Genomic DNA, 14,515 nt, shown 5'->3' with positions numbered 1-14,515 from the left:
TACAAATAGGTCAATGAACATATCACATTCATTTATTTTCAAAACACTTGAATATTTAAATTAATACTAGATGAAAATAACAGTGAGTAATCAAGCCCACATTTTTAAAAACAATTTTATTGAGTAAGATCTGTGTGGGGTAGGGGGAAGAAAATTCTTATTTCACATTACTACAGCATAACTAATCTAGCTGTCTATTCTCTATGTTTAGAAATCATACTCAGTTGGTTTAATGGTAGAGTTAAAGGCCAAATCTGCCATATAGTTAAAGGCCAAATCTGCCGTGAAGCCAGGAGAAAGGATCCAGCATACAAACCATGACAGAATACACACACATTTTGGAGATGCATGCTTTCTCAAAGCTCTGAGGACCATCATGAAGACATATTAACTGAAAGAATACAAAGCGATGTGAATAGTTCCTAACTATTGGAGGTAAACATTTCTAAAATTATTTGGACAAAAAGTTAATACATTGTACAAGTTACTCTTAAATGCTTTGTGAGATACAAAGAGGATAGGCTTGCCCCTTTTAAAAGAAGAGGTAAACAATCAAGTTGGAGAGACAAGATTTACAAATATGAAAACTTAAATAACAATAAAGCACTTAATAGTAGCAAGCAATAATGGAAAAGATGTCAGTAGGCAGTAAGTGGTTAATTACCAAATGTATTATCTGAATACGAATTGTGGAAACTTTTTTGAAAGGAGCGATTAGTTCAACTTAGAGAATGAGGAACATCATTACTAAAGAAGTGAGATCTGACCTTGGTCCCATTTGGGAGTTAGGATTAGGTTAGGAAGGCAGTTTTGGTGGGGAAAGTAGTCTAAGAAAAAGGAAGATGAATGGAAGGATAAAAGTATATTTGGAAGAGAGTAAGGAAATAAGTTTATCTGGAGTTGTTATTTTATGTAGACAAGTTGAGGGAAGGGGAGGTAGTAAAAGTATATTGAGGCCCATTATGGAGGCTCTTGAACTCTGAGCTGAAGGTTTTAGATACAGTCCAGTAAGCAATGAGGAGTCCTGGAAGGCTTCTGATTGGCAGAGTGGCATGGTCTGACAGTGTTTTGGGGAGAGGTAGTTTGACATAGATGTGGGGTATAGAATGGAGGTAACTGATGTTGAAATTGAGGAAACCATTAAGGAGCCTTTTCAGCAATCCTAGGAAAGGTAAAAGAGTCCGATTTAGCTTGTTGTCAGTAGGAATATAACCAGCACTGTGAAATAAGAATCAACAAGGCTTGGTCACTATCTTAGTCTATTTTGTGTTGCTATAGAGGAATACCTGAGGCTGGGTAATTTATAAAGGAAAAGAGTTTATTTAGCTCATTGTTTTGCAGACTATACAAGAAGCATGACACCAAACTGTGGTTGTCTTCTGGTGAAGATCTCAGAAGTTTCCACTCATGGCAAAAGGTGAAGGGGAGCCAGCTCCTGTAAAGATTACATGGCAAGAGGAAGTGAGAGGGAGAGAGGAGGTGCCAGCTCCTTTTTAACAACCAATTCTTGTGGAAACTAATAGAGTGGAAACTCATTCACCACCCCCAACCCCCGCCAACCCCAGGGAAGGCATTAATCTATTCATGAGGGATCCACCCCTATGACTGAAACACCTCTCATTATGCCTCACCTCCTAACACTGCTACACTGGGAATGAAATTTAATCATGAGGGTTGGTGGGGACAAACGAACCATATCCAAACTCTAGTGGTCACTACTTAGATACTTTCCATAGAGGAAAGGGAAGATATAAAGTTGAGATTTCAGTCCTAAAAGACTGGAATAATGGAGGAATCTGTAGAGAAAGACAGTTTTGAGCTCAGATGAGAAACTTATACCTAGAGATGTTGAGGTATTGGTGAAGGTTCAGTGATCAAGTAAAATGTTCATTGCTTTGCTGTGTTGATTGCCAATGAGGTTTTGGGTGGAGTTTCAGGAGTCATCTGCATGGAGGAGATGTTGGAAATAAGAGGAGAGGGTATATCCTAGGAAAGCCAGAGCCAAGGATTGAACTAAATAATTTCTCATTTTTAAAAGGTAGATAAAGAAGGAGCTAATGAAGAAAAAGAAACAAGCTGTCAAGCGGTGGGAAGGGAACCAGGAAAACACAGCATCATGTCAGACAATAAAATAGTGTAATTTCAAGAATGAACAGTGGCCAATAGCCCATTGGCTGCAGAAGAATCAAAGAGCAGGAGAAACAGGAAAAGGCCTTTAACTTTGTGATTAGGATGTCAAAGGTGACCTTCCAGGCATTAGAACATATCAACTGAAAGAAAGTGAATGTGATCTAGAGAGAGAATTCTACAATATGACCCAATTAGCTTAATGGCTCAAATCACTAAAATCATACAGATTCTTGGTAAATCTTAAGCTGATAAATGTTACTACTATCAGAGATCATGGAAGGGAATGCTAATACCTCAGGAAAACAACAGATTACGCGTCCGTGTAATTTATACCATATGCATAGTCTTTGTTTCAACGATGTTGGTAATATTAATGCAACGCTGATAAAAGTAAACACCCTCTATATTCTAGGCACTGTACTTAGCACTTTAACACATTTGGTTCACAGCACAATTCTGTGTTTTGGAGTTGAGGAAACTGAGTTTTGGAAAGTTAAATATTGCTTCTGAGATTATATAGCCAGTAAACAACGGAGTTAGTATTCAAACCAACATCAACCTGACTCCAAAGCCCATGTATTGTCTACTGCACCAGGTGGAATAGCTTTACAAAATGAGCACTTGACATGAGAAAAATCCCTCACCTCTAGGACTTCCTGTTTAATGCCAAACTCTGTTGATAATGAGAAGGACTCCTCCTCAATGAAAAGACAGTTTCTTTTATAACATGAACATTTGTCTTCATTTGTGAATTTGATCATATTAGATTTAATCATCCACACTGGCCATCTGGCACTCACCTTAAATGTCTTGTTGTCTTGTTAAAACTTTTAGAATTATGGAAAATTTCAAAACTACGTAAATTAGAAAGAAGAGTATTATAAATCCCCATGTACCTATGCTCCAGCTTCAATATTGATTGATCAATATCTGATCAATCTTATTTCATTTGCCAGACCACTTCCATCCCCTTCACCACTTACATTCTTGGAAGGGGCAGTGGGCTGGTTAACTTTTCCTGTGTCTCACTGAGTGTCAACCTGTTTCTTTCTAGCACAAAGCATTTTGTCTAATATAAATTTGTGAGGAGTTTGGTGAACCAGAGATTTGAGGAAGAAAAAAATATTTTTTATCTTTGGAAACAATTTTTAGGTGTTAAAAGAAAAACCTTAGACAAATTCGATTTGATAGAGTTTAATTGAACAAAGAACGATTTGTGAATTGTGCAGCCCCCAAACCGGAACAGGTTCAGAGAGACTCCAGCACTGCCACATGGTCTAAGAAAATTTGTGGACAGAAAATGGAAGCAAGGTACAGAAACAGCTGGACTTGTTACAGCCCGGTGTTTGTCTTGTTTGAACGTGGTTTGAACACTTGGCCACATGTGATTGGCCGAAACTCAATGATTTGTACAAAAGTCGTTTACAGCCTGTTTATACATCCAGTTAGGTTTCAGTTCACTATCTATGGAGAAATCTTTAGGCCAAACTTAAAATATGTAAGGGGGCAGGTTTAGGTCAAACTTAATTTAACATAGGGTACTTGTTTATAACTACTACAAAATAAATTGGTAAATATACCCTATTCCTAGGCTTTCTCTAGCTAAAACTCAGGAGATCCTGAGCTTAAGAAGACATGTGCATGTGGTATGAAGTGCCTCTTGGGAATCCCTCTGCTGAGGGCAGACAGCCATCTAGTCTTTTCTGTTAGGCCAGGCAGGCATCTGTGATAGGCATGTTAGTGCTGACAGTCACTAAAATCAGAAATGAAGTGTGGAAAATGAGCAGGAACCAACAGTCTGGTCTCTGTGGGAGGTCGGAGTCAGAGTGAATTGACCTCTGCTCTGCCTCCTTTCCTCTTTCTCCACTGGAGGTGTCCAAAGCCTTAAAGAGAGATCTGCTCACAGGGGGTCACCAAAAGGAACCCACGACAGTGGCCATTGCTAAGGTCTTTAGCAGAGCCACAAATACCTGGGTCTGCATCACAGGAAAGTTTTAACTTATGCTTCTTGCAAAGTTTTGTGCTCCAGATTAAAAGAGGGTGAAGTTCTTAATTGGTCATCTTCATTTGCAATGTTTCTTCTTTTACTTTTTATGGAGGCATAATATACATACAGACAAGTGTATATGTCATAGGTATACAGCTCCATGAAGTTTCAAACTGAACATACCAGTTCAGTTTCAAACTGAACATAACCTGTGCACCCAGGTTAGGAGACAGAACATTAGTGCACCTAGGTATGCAACTGTGCTTCCGTCCAGTTGGGACCCCTCCCAGCAGTAACTACTCTCCTGATTTCCTTACAGCATGGATTACTAACAATGGATCTTACAATAAAAGTTAGAGATAGTTCTTAGAGAAATCCTTTCCTTTTAGGTCCTCTCCTTCTTGTTATATTTTTAATATCTTTTTAAAAATAAGCCAACAATCCCAGTGGTATGGGAAGTACCTAGGTAAGAGGCAAAAGCCATCTGTCAAGAGCAGTACCACCATCTCTTCCTGAGTCCACTGTGGGTTTTGACCTTAGTCATTGCCTTTCTATCTTGACTAGCTCCATGAAAACTCCTTGGAATTGATTGTCTTAACTAAAAGCTAAGAACTTGTTGCCAATGCATTGCAACACTCCCATAGCACATGTTGCAATTATTGAATCCTCCATAAATATCCATAAATAATGCAAGAAGGGGCAACTTGGTGGGTTGAGCTGCTGTGTGATGACAACTCCCGGAAGAAAGTTGTGCTTGCAAACATCCTTGAGTCCTCCGTCCGTAGATACATAGCCAGCTTCTGTGAGGCTCAGGTTTCTACTCAAAAAGAGACACAGGCAGGGTAGAAACTTGGGTCTCTTAACCATCTGACTCTCCTCAGTCTGGTTTCAAAGGGAAAGTCAGGAAGGAGAAGAGGTAAAGAGCAAGGGCTTTGGAGTCAGACAGTCGCTGGCTTCAGCCATGCCTTTACCATGGGTACCTTAAAAAATTTTTTTAAACTCAATTTCTGTGCCTGCAAATTTAGGATAATAGTATGAAACTCATATGTGACAATGTATGTGAAGTGCTAGGCAAATTATGTGCTACCTGGTAAATACTCAATAAACATGAGATCTTACAATTTTTGAAGAGTTGTTTTCCCAGAAAAAGAACAAAGGCATTTTAGATTGACAGAATGACACAAAACTTGACTAATTTTTAAATACTTAAATCAATGAATCTGGACTTAATTAGACAATTTTGATCCACTCAAACCTCTTGGTTTTGTCTATAGGACCAAAATGGCATCTTCTGGCCTTGGCACCTCAGAGACACTGCTCCTCGCACAGAGTGGCAGGACAAGAGGACTTCATCCTGCCATGGGTCCAGATTTTGTGGGAGGGGACAAAATAAAGCTTTGACAGGAGTTATGAGGAAGAAAATAATCATCTTAAAGCTCATAATGAGATAAGGGAAAACTGGAATACTTTCCCCCTTAGTCTATTTTAGAAGAAAATAAAGTGCTTTCTAACACCCTTTAACAACAGAATAGTGGAAGCTGAAGTACTTTTGGCCACAAAAGTTGGATGTACTATGGTTCTCTAATGATTTCTGTGGCTATCATGTTGCCCCCTTCACCCAACCTCAACACTGTTGCCTCTCCTCAGCTTGTACTACTTGTACAAAATTGGGGAGGATTCCTGAACTCTTTACGTTTTAGTTTTCTCCTGAATCAAGCAGGGCTATCAACAGTACCTCATTCACATGGCTATTGTGAAGAATAAATAAGATAATGTATGTAAATGGCTCAATACAGAGCCTGATACTTAGTAAGCACTCAAGAAATAATTGCTGCTGCAATTGTTATCAATCACCATCATCATCACCATCATCATCAAATTCTGAGGCATGAAAGTCTCATTGACAATCTCCCTCATGTCTCCATGGTGTAGTTTTACCTCCTGACTTGCTTTGAATGTGAAATTTTGGCTTTACATCTTTGGGTCATGCAGTTGTCCAATTTACTTCCAGCTGCCTTGGAAATCTGCCCATCCACTTCATCATTCTTACGTTCATTCTGCATCTGAACACCTGGATGAAAAATGAAAAACTCAATCAAATCTTCAGCTATTTACTCCATGTTGTACCAAACATTTAAGTTGTTCTAAATATTTGGAGCATTGACAAATTTTTAGTCTGCTTTTGGATATTTGGCAGATTAAAAATCAGAAGACACAACTTTATCCTGGGCAAGGCCAGGAAGAAACAAATCTCTTTCACGTGATCAATTTGAAACAGCCTGTTGATGTGGACAACATTTTTGTTTGACGGATCAGAACAATTTTAAAAATTGTTTTTACCAAAAAATGGGTGTCCCCTTGCAAGATGTTGGATGGGATGAAGATTAAGATTGGGGTAAGGCTATCTCTTGCAAACATTATAGTTTATAATTCCATGATTTATTTAAATTAAGATATAATTTACATTCAATGCAATTCACCAGTTTTAAGTATACAATTTGATGAGTTTTGAAACATATACACTATCACCACATCAAACTATGGACTATTTCCATCACTCTAGGAATGTCCCTCATCCCTTTACAGTCAGTTCCCATCCCTTTCAAGCACTGATCTGCTTTCTCTCACTATAATTCTGCCTTTTGTAGAACTTCATATAAATGAAATCATAGGATATGTGTTCTTACATCTGGCTTTTTTCACTGAGCATAATTCTTTTGAGATACTGCATGTCATTGTATGTATCTGTAGTTCATACCTTTTTATTATTGAGTAGTAGTTCATCATACCACAATTTGTTTATCTATTCACCAGTTGATGGATATTTGGCTATTATGAATAATGCTGCTATGAACATTCAAGTACAAGTTGTTGCACAGATGTAAATTTTCATTTCACTTGGATAAATACCTAGGAATGGGAATGCTAAGTTGTAAGTATACGTTTGACTTTTGACAAAACTGTTAAACTGTTTGCCAAAGTGGCTGAACATTTCACATGTCCACCAGCAAAGTGTGGGAATTCCCACACCCCAGTTTCAGCAACACTTTGTATGGTAATTGATATGGTTTGGCTCTGTGTCCCCACCCAAATCTCATCTCGAATTATAATCCCCATGTGTTGAGGGAGGGACCTGGTAGGAGTGATTGGATCATGGGGGCGGTTTCCCCCATGCTGTTCTTGTGTTAGTGAGCAATGATTTAAAAGTGGCAGTTTCCCCTGTACACGCTGTCTCTCCTGCCGCCATGTAAGACGTGCCTTGCTTCTCCTTCACCTTCTACTGTGACTGTAAGCTTCCTGAGGCCTCCCCTGCCATGCAGAACAGTGAGTCAATTAAACCTCTTTCATTTATAAACTACCCAGTCTCAGGTAGTCTCTTTATAGCAGTGTGAGAATGGACTAATACAGTCATCTTTCTTATTTTAGCTATCCTAGTGGATTTGTAGTGGTATTTCATTATGATTTCAGTTCTCATTTCCCTAATGACTATGATGTTGAGCGTCTTTTCATGGGTGTATAGGTCATTTACACATCTTTGGTGACCTTTCACCAAAGGTCTCCACATCTTTGGAGACCTTCTTTTCAAATTATTTGCCCATTTATTTTTAATAGATTATCTTATTGTTATTGTGTTATAAGAATTCTTTACATATTCTTGATCGCCTTTATTGAACTTATCTTCTGCTATTATTTTTCCCGGTTTGTGGTTTGCCTTTTATTTTTTTAGTGGTGTCTTTTGAAGGGGAGACATTTTAAATTTTAATAAAATTCAATTTATCAGTTTTTAAAATGGTTTGCATGTTTTGCATCCTACCAAAGAAATCTGCTTATTCCAAGGTCGTAAAGATTTTGTCATGTTGTCTTGTAGAATTTTATATTATTCTAGGCTCTAGAATTTAGATCTAGAACTCATTTTGAGTTGATTATTTTATAGGGTAAAGTGAAGATTGAGGTTCATTTATTTGTACGTAGACATCCATTTTCTCCCCAGCACTATTTGCTGAAGACTATCCTTGAATTACTTTGACATACTTTGTAACTTTTAAAGAATTGAAAGTTCTCTTTTTTTTCTTTTTTCAGTTATGCCAAAAAGTTTCCTTCAAAAAGATGTGCCAAATTATTGGGTACCATTTTAAAAAATTAAAAAGTTATTAAGAAGGTACTCAAAGATCTGTATATAAGGATGCTTATTATAACATTGCTTGTAATGATAAAAGCTGGAAACAGTTGTAGGGGATGAAAGATTTCTTTTCCTCACTTATCACTAGGTTCAAGGCTGAGGCACTATAATATAGATAAACAAGAGAAAACCATACAGTTTTATTTAATGTGTTTTATACAGTACAGGAGGCTTCAGACAAAGAAACCTGTATAATTTTATGGTAAGTTTGATGAAGGAGTCGATTGTTGTGGAGAAATGTGATTGGACAAAGGAGGTATGATCCAATGGTAATAAACTGGGGGGAACGTAGAAAGGCCTGTTTGTTTAGATTCTTCCCTGTGTTTCTATGTCTTCAGAAATGAGAATGTTCCTTTTCTGTGGGTTTAGAGTGGGCACCTTTCACATGAGCCTGTTATGACCTACTTCAGGAGAAGGTCAGAAAATTTTTTCTAGGTTTTATGGCCTACTCCAGGGCAGAAGGACAGGAGAAAGACAGAGAGACCCTCCTTTCTTTGCAGTTTTCTCAAATGCCAAGGTGTCATATCTTAAGGTAGTCTGTCCTGAACCCCATCACAATCTAAATATCTACCACCAGGAGGCAAGTTGAATAAATCATGGCATATTCATATAGTGTAATATTGCAGCCAATAAGAATCTGGATGATAATCTACATATGTGACCAGGAAAAGATATTCACAACATGCTTTAAGGGAACATGCAGAGATCACAAATAGGAAATCTGGTATTTCATTTTTGCAAGTACAAAAACAATAAAAATTATAATTGCTTATGCATATATAGAAACAGATGTAGAATATACAGTGGTTATCTTTGGATGCTAAGATTCCAGACAATCTATTTTTTTTAATATTTCCTTTTCAAAGAGTGTAAACTACCTTTAAAATTAGGGAAAACATTTCTGTTTTCTCTTTTTTGTTTTTTTGTTTTGAGACAGTGTCTTACTGTGTTGTCCAGGCTGGAGTGCAGTGGTGCGAACATGGCTCAGGCTTAAGGGATCCTGTCTTAGCCTCCTGTGTAGCTGGGATCATAGGTGCACATCACCATGCCCAGCTAATTTTTAAAATTTTTTAGAGACACATCTCACTTTGTTGACAAGGCTGGTCTCGAACTCCTGGCTTCAAACGATCCTCCTGCCTTTGCCTCCCAAAGTGCTGGGATTATAGGCATGAGCCACTGCTCCTGGCCAGAAAACATTTTTTTAACAAAAAAAATTATGTACTCTTGGCAGCAGTGTTTAAGGATTCCCAGAGACGTGGTTTAACAAATCAATATGCAACATTTTCACCTTAAATGCTTTTAGGTGGTATGAACTCTCTGGAAAGCCAGTTAGCTGCTGAAATCTGGTTTGCTTAAGCTAGAGAGACCCACAAAAGGCTTACTGTCTCAAAGATTTTGAAGAGAATGAGGCATTTAAAGCTTCATTTCCATTAAAATGCAAATTAGAATTAAGGTTAGCCATATGGTGATATTCTAATTTTCCCCCAATACTCCTTCTAACTCAAATAAGAGACAATTTCTATTTCTAAATTCTTTAATGATGTAATTCCTCACAATTAAAAGTATATGTAATATACTCTATTTTTCTATCAACAGCACATAGAAGTGCATCTGATCACTTGTAGGGCCATATGGTATGATGAGAAACTAATCTACTTTAAAAAGTTTTATTTTCCCAGAATATGTTCTCTCATTAGTTATATGTGTACCATCACTCAGCTTTTTAGAGGGTGGCACTCGGAACTTTGACAAAGCCTTAAATAAGCCTAAGAACTCAGAACACCTGGAAAATAAGGAATATTAGAAGATTAAGCATATACCACCAACTAAAGCCAGAGCAGGGCCAGACTGAAAGGCTCTGTGAGGACAAAGTATTTACAACACTGTGTCTGACTCCCAGAAGCCCCTAGAAAATTAGCTGGAGAAGAACATGGCTGCTCATTTAAGAACCACAGTCGTGTTTATATTAATACTTCCATGATCAAAGAAAACAATGTTTTAACTTCAGGGGTTCTTATATCTTTTATGATATGAAAATAATTAGAATCCTTAGCATTATCTTATTCATCATATAACCTTTTTATTACTCCTTTTTTTTTAATGTGAGAAAATTGAAGCTTCGGTAGAAAGTGTCAGAGTCTAGATTCGATCCCAGGTCTTCTGATCAAAGTCCTGTGTGTACACTCTTCCCCCACCTGCTTCCAGACCCCTTCTAGTCGCAGCCCCAGGAGCTCAAGCTCCTCATCTCCCGCTTGAGCCTTTCTCCAAGAAAATAGTCAAGGAGCCCCAGAAGCCTCTCAGGGGATAGAGGAGAAACTAAGTGAGCCAAGCAGAATGTGAATAAAACGCTTTACTCCATAGCATCAGACCCTCTGCTGGTTGCCCCGTTGTTTTTTGTAAACTATGTAGAAAGAACCTTGGAACTAGGGAGTATGAATCTGGCCACTGTGTAACCACAGGCACATCAGAAAAAGCTTATGAGACTAAGCAATTAACTAATTCAATGAGTATCTACTGCATCCTACCATGTATCCGTCACATGGCAAAATATAGCACATTCTCATTCATACTTACACTGAAATTTAGTGGTGCTGGGCAGCGGGGGACTATGTAATTGGCACAGATACCTAATATTTAAAGGCAGGAAACTTTTAGATGTAGATAAGAAAGCTAAGCATTGTTACTTATAAAATATATGCAAAATAAGTAATATATTTTTGTGGTGTATTACAATTTTCAAATCACATATTTACCAGTTGGATTCAAACAATACTGATGGTGAGAGAAATAGGTGTTATACCATTTTGCAGACAGGACAACTGAGGCTCAGAGGGCAGAGACTGTGTCTGACTAATGAGTATGTGAGCTTACACATTCTGAGTCTCAGGTATTCCTGCAGTTTATTTTAAGGCTTTGTTTGGACAAGCTCATTTTTTGTTTTGTTTTGTTTTAAGAGAGATAGGACTATATCTCTGTTTGCCAAAATAGACGAGCAAATTAGGAACTAGCTTGGCAGAATCTCCCTTTCCTAGAACGGATGTAGCAAGTTATAACACATGAGGGCCATGGCAAAGCAGCCGCCTCATAATTACCCCTGATCAGCCCTGTTGTGATTGCCCCTGACAGTCAGTCACTGGCACAGAATATGGGGATTCATTCATTCTCAATTTAAAAACCATATAAAATGACCCAAAGAGTTGTGTCTAATCTGATTCTTAAACATGCGTGTTCTGCTGATCAGTAGAAAGAGAACCCAGATGCATCAGCCTCCTTTGAGAATGCCTTTGGGAAAGTACCAGAGCGCTATAATGCTTTGAGCCTGAGCAGTGGCTGCCAGCAGCGAGCAGTCAGAACAGCTTCCACGGTGCACATCATTGACCTGGCTCCATGCCACTTGTGTTCTATAGTGGATGTTTCATCATCATGGGAAGGGGAGGCAAGGGGAGGAAGCAGGGGTCGGGCGATCATTTGGGAAGCTAGAAAGGTCAGATATGATGGCATCTGGTGGAAAATGCTTCTTACAGATTGAACAGTTTGGGGTGGGTATGAGGATAGCTCTCTAAGTGTCATTAATAAAGATGAAAATTGTTCCTGGAGAATTGTTAAGGCCCAATTATGATGGCTGAATATTAATGACATCACAACTGGGTCCTCTGCCTCTCACCATTTTCTTTTTGAAAATCTTTGGCTATTTGCCTTATCTTTAGTGCTTAAATTCCAGAAAATAACTATAGATGAGTGATTTACTTTGGTTATCTGAGCAAACAACCTAACTTACTAGAGGGAAATCAGACATAGCAGCTCTTTTTTGAGATGGCTTATTTAGGGTGTCAAGGCCATTTGTCTTCACGACCTTGCAATCAGCATTGTTCGTTTGCTCATTCCATCAACACTGTGGAAGAGACATGTGCCAGGGGCACATGCTGGGCACCATGGAGGATAAAGGGTGAACGAGAGGTAGCCTGAGTGGGTTTACAGTTGAGAAGGAGAAATGAGAGGATACACATGTGTCACAGGCTGTCCTTATGAACTGTCATGGGGGCTGAGCCCAGTGCAAAGATCCCTTCCTCTAGGAAATAAGGGAAGAAAGCCTTGGTGGTGTGGAATGGAAACAAGGAATGGTGAGGTATTTTAGTTCAGGGAGTGGTTAAAAAGGTAGAGTCCTTTTTCAGGAGTAGTACGTTTTCCTGTTTGGTTAGAATAAAGGTCTGAGGAAGGATATAGCAAGACCCCAGGCCGATGGGTAAGCTAGAGCCAAACTGTGGACGGTTTCAGTGTCAGGCTGAGGAACTCCTACTAGGCAGTGGGAGTAATGAAGGACTTTTTTGTTGAAGGCAGATGCAAACAAGCCTGTGCTTTAGAATGATTAATCTAACTGGTATACTGGAAGGATTGAAATGGAGAAATGCTATGGTGAGAGAGACAAATTGAGTGGGAGAGCTATTGCAATAGACCAGATGAAAGATCATGCAGGCCAGAGCTAAGAAAGATGGTGCATAGACTATGAGCTATTCAGAAATTAAAACTATCAAGTTTTGGAGACTGATTAGATGTGGGTCATTAGGGAGAAGAAAGAGATACAGATAAGTTCAAAGAGGGGCTGCAGTAGGAGGAGGAGCATGTTTTAAGGAAGACCTAGCAATTTCAGCCTAAGCCATGTATTCATTTGCTAGGGCTGCCAGAACAAAATACTGCACACTGGGTGGCTCATGTAACAGAAATTAATTTTCTCACTGTTCGGGAACTGAGAAGTCCAAGATCAAGGTACTGAATAAGTTTGGTGTCTCCTGAGGCCTCTTTCCTTGGCTTGTGGATGGCCACCCTCTTGCTGTCTCCTCCCATGGTCTCTCTTCTGTGTGCACATATCCTTCGTGTCTCTCTGCATGTCTGGTTTTCCTCTTCTTAAAAGATCACCAGTCGGATTGAATTAGGACCTACCATAATGGCCCCATTTAACTTAATTACTACATAAAGGCCCTATCTTCAAATTATAGCTGCATTCTGAGGTGAGACTTCAACACATGAATTTTATGGGGACACAATTCAGGCTCTAAGAGGACATGCAGAGTTTGAGGTACCAGTGGACCTTCCAGAGAACCTGCCTAGTAGATAGGTGGTTTGAAGCATACACTGGAGCTCAGGGGACAGGAGAGGGTTGGGGATGGAGAGGTGAATGTCAAAAATTGTGCATAAACTGAGATCTGGGGAGAAGATGAGAAGAGATCACTCTGGGGGTCATGGTGATGAAGATAATAATAAAATAGCAATAGCTGCTGTGCATCAAGTTTTCTGTATATTAGCACTGGGCTAAGCCCTGTGCATGCTTGGAATGACAGATCTGTGAAAGAACAATTATTACTGTTATTTTGATCATTTACCTTGATTTTATAGAAGAGAAACCTGAAGCTTGGAGTGGCAAAGTGATTTTCTAAGGCCTAATAGTTTTTAAGCAGCAGAACCAGAATGTGAAGTTCAAGTAAATCTGACTTCAAAGATCCATGCCCAAGCACAGGGCCACACTGCCTCCAAGGAAAGCAAGTAGAAGAGAAAGAAGAAAGTCAGAGGCAGCATCAGTATTTCGTAGGGGAAGCAAAGGAGGAAGAATAGGGAAGAGGAACTGAGAGGGGATAGTCAGAAAAGAGAAACATCAGAAAGAAAGGATGGGCCAGGAGCCAGAGGTGGTTTTGGGGCACAGCCAACAAGGCCAAATACAGCACAAGATGAGTAGGAAAGACTTACCAGTGGGCTGGGTGGCTGGTAACCTTCGTGAGAGCTGGCTTTCTGGAACATTGGAGGTAGATGACAGATGGCCATGTGTTGAGGAGAGATTGGGAAGTGAGAAGAGGAGGTGGCAAGCTTCGTCATCATAGGAAGAAGGCGAGAAAGCTATGGTGGGAGGGGAACAGAGAGAGTCAAGGGGAATTTATTTTTAAAACAGGACAGAAAGATTTTAAAAGATGGGTAGGTCGAAGGGGTGGGGGAGGATGTAATTTCTGAAGATAGCAGAGAGGAAACGATTTAATGAGTAAGACCTTGGCAGAGGTGGGTGGCAGGGTGAGGCTTCAGGTTGAAACCAACTTTAAAAAGAAGCAGGGACCCTTTCTCTGAGACTAGAGGGGATTAATGAAAGATGGGTGGTGAGATGAATGAGCTAGGAGGTTGACTGGGTTGGAACAAGAGACGAATGGAATTATACTAAATAGAATAGATGTGTCTGA

The 14,515-nt window shown here is 39.3% G+C and overlaps 2 long non-coding RNA genes across 2 annotated transcripts; one reads left to right on the top strand and one right to left on the bottom strand.

Annotated features, from left to right (window-relative positions):
• The first annotated feature begins 230 nt into the window (after positions 1-230).
• LINC01335 (long intergenic non-protein coding RNA 1335) lies at positions 231-2,146 on the top strand. The gene is made up of 3 exons (NR_105009.1): positions 231-435; positions 1,342-1,417; positions 2,039-2,146. It is a non-coding gene; the product is annotated as a long intergenic non-protein coding RNA 1335 (long non-coding RNA).
• A 3,982-nt stretch (positions 2,147-6,128) lies between these two features.
• Positions 6,129-14,142, bottom strand: LOC124901004 (uncharacterized). Its single transcript, XR_007058821.1, has 2 exons — positions 14,037-14,142; positions 6,129-6,188 (listed from the first exon to the last, which is right to left on the bottom strand). It is a non-coding gene; the product is annotated as an uncharacterized LOC124901004 (long non-coding RNA).
• Positions 14,143-14,515: the final 373 nt, after the last annotated feature.

The sequence above is a fragment of the Homo sapiens genome, chromosome 5, assembly GCF_000001405.40.
Source record: "Homo sapiens chromosome 5, GRCh38.p14 Primary Assembly".
Classification (NCBI taxonomy): Eukaryota; Metazoa; Chordata; class Mammalia; order Primates; family Hominidae; genus Homo; species Homo sapiens.
The sequence above is the reverse complement of the archived record's forward strand: the minus strand, read 5'-3'. Positions and strand labels throughout refer to the sequence as shown.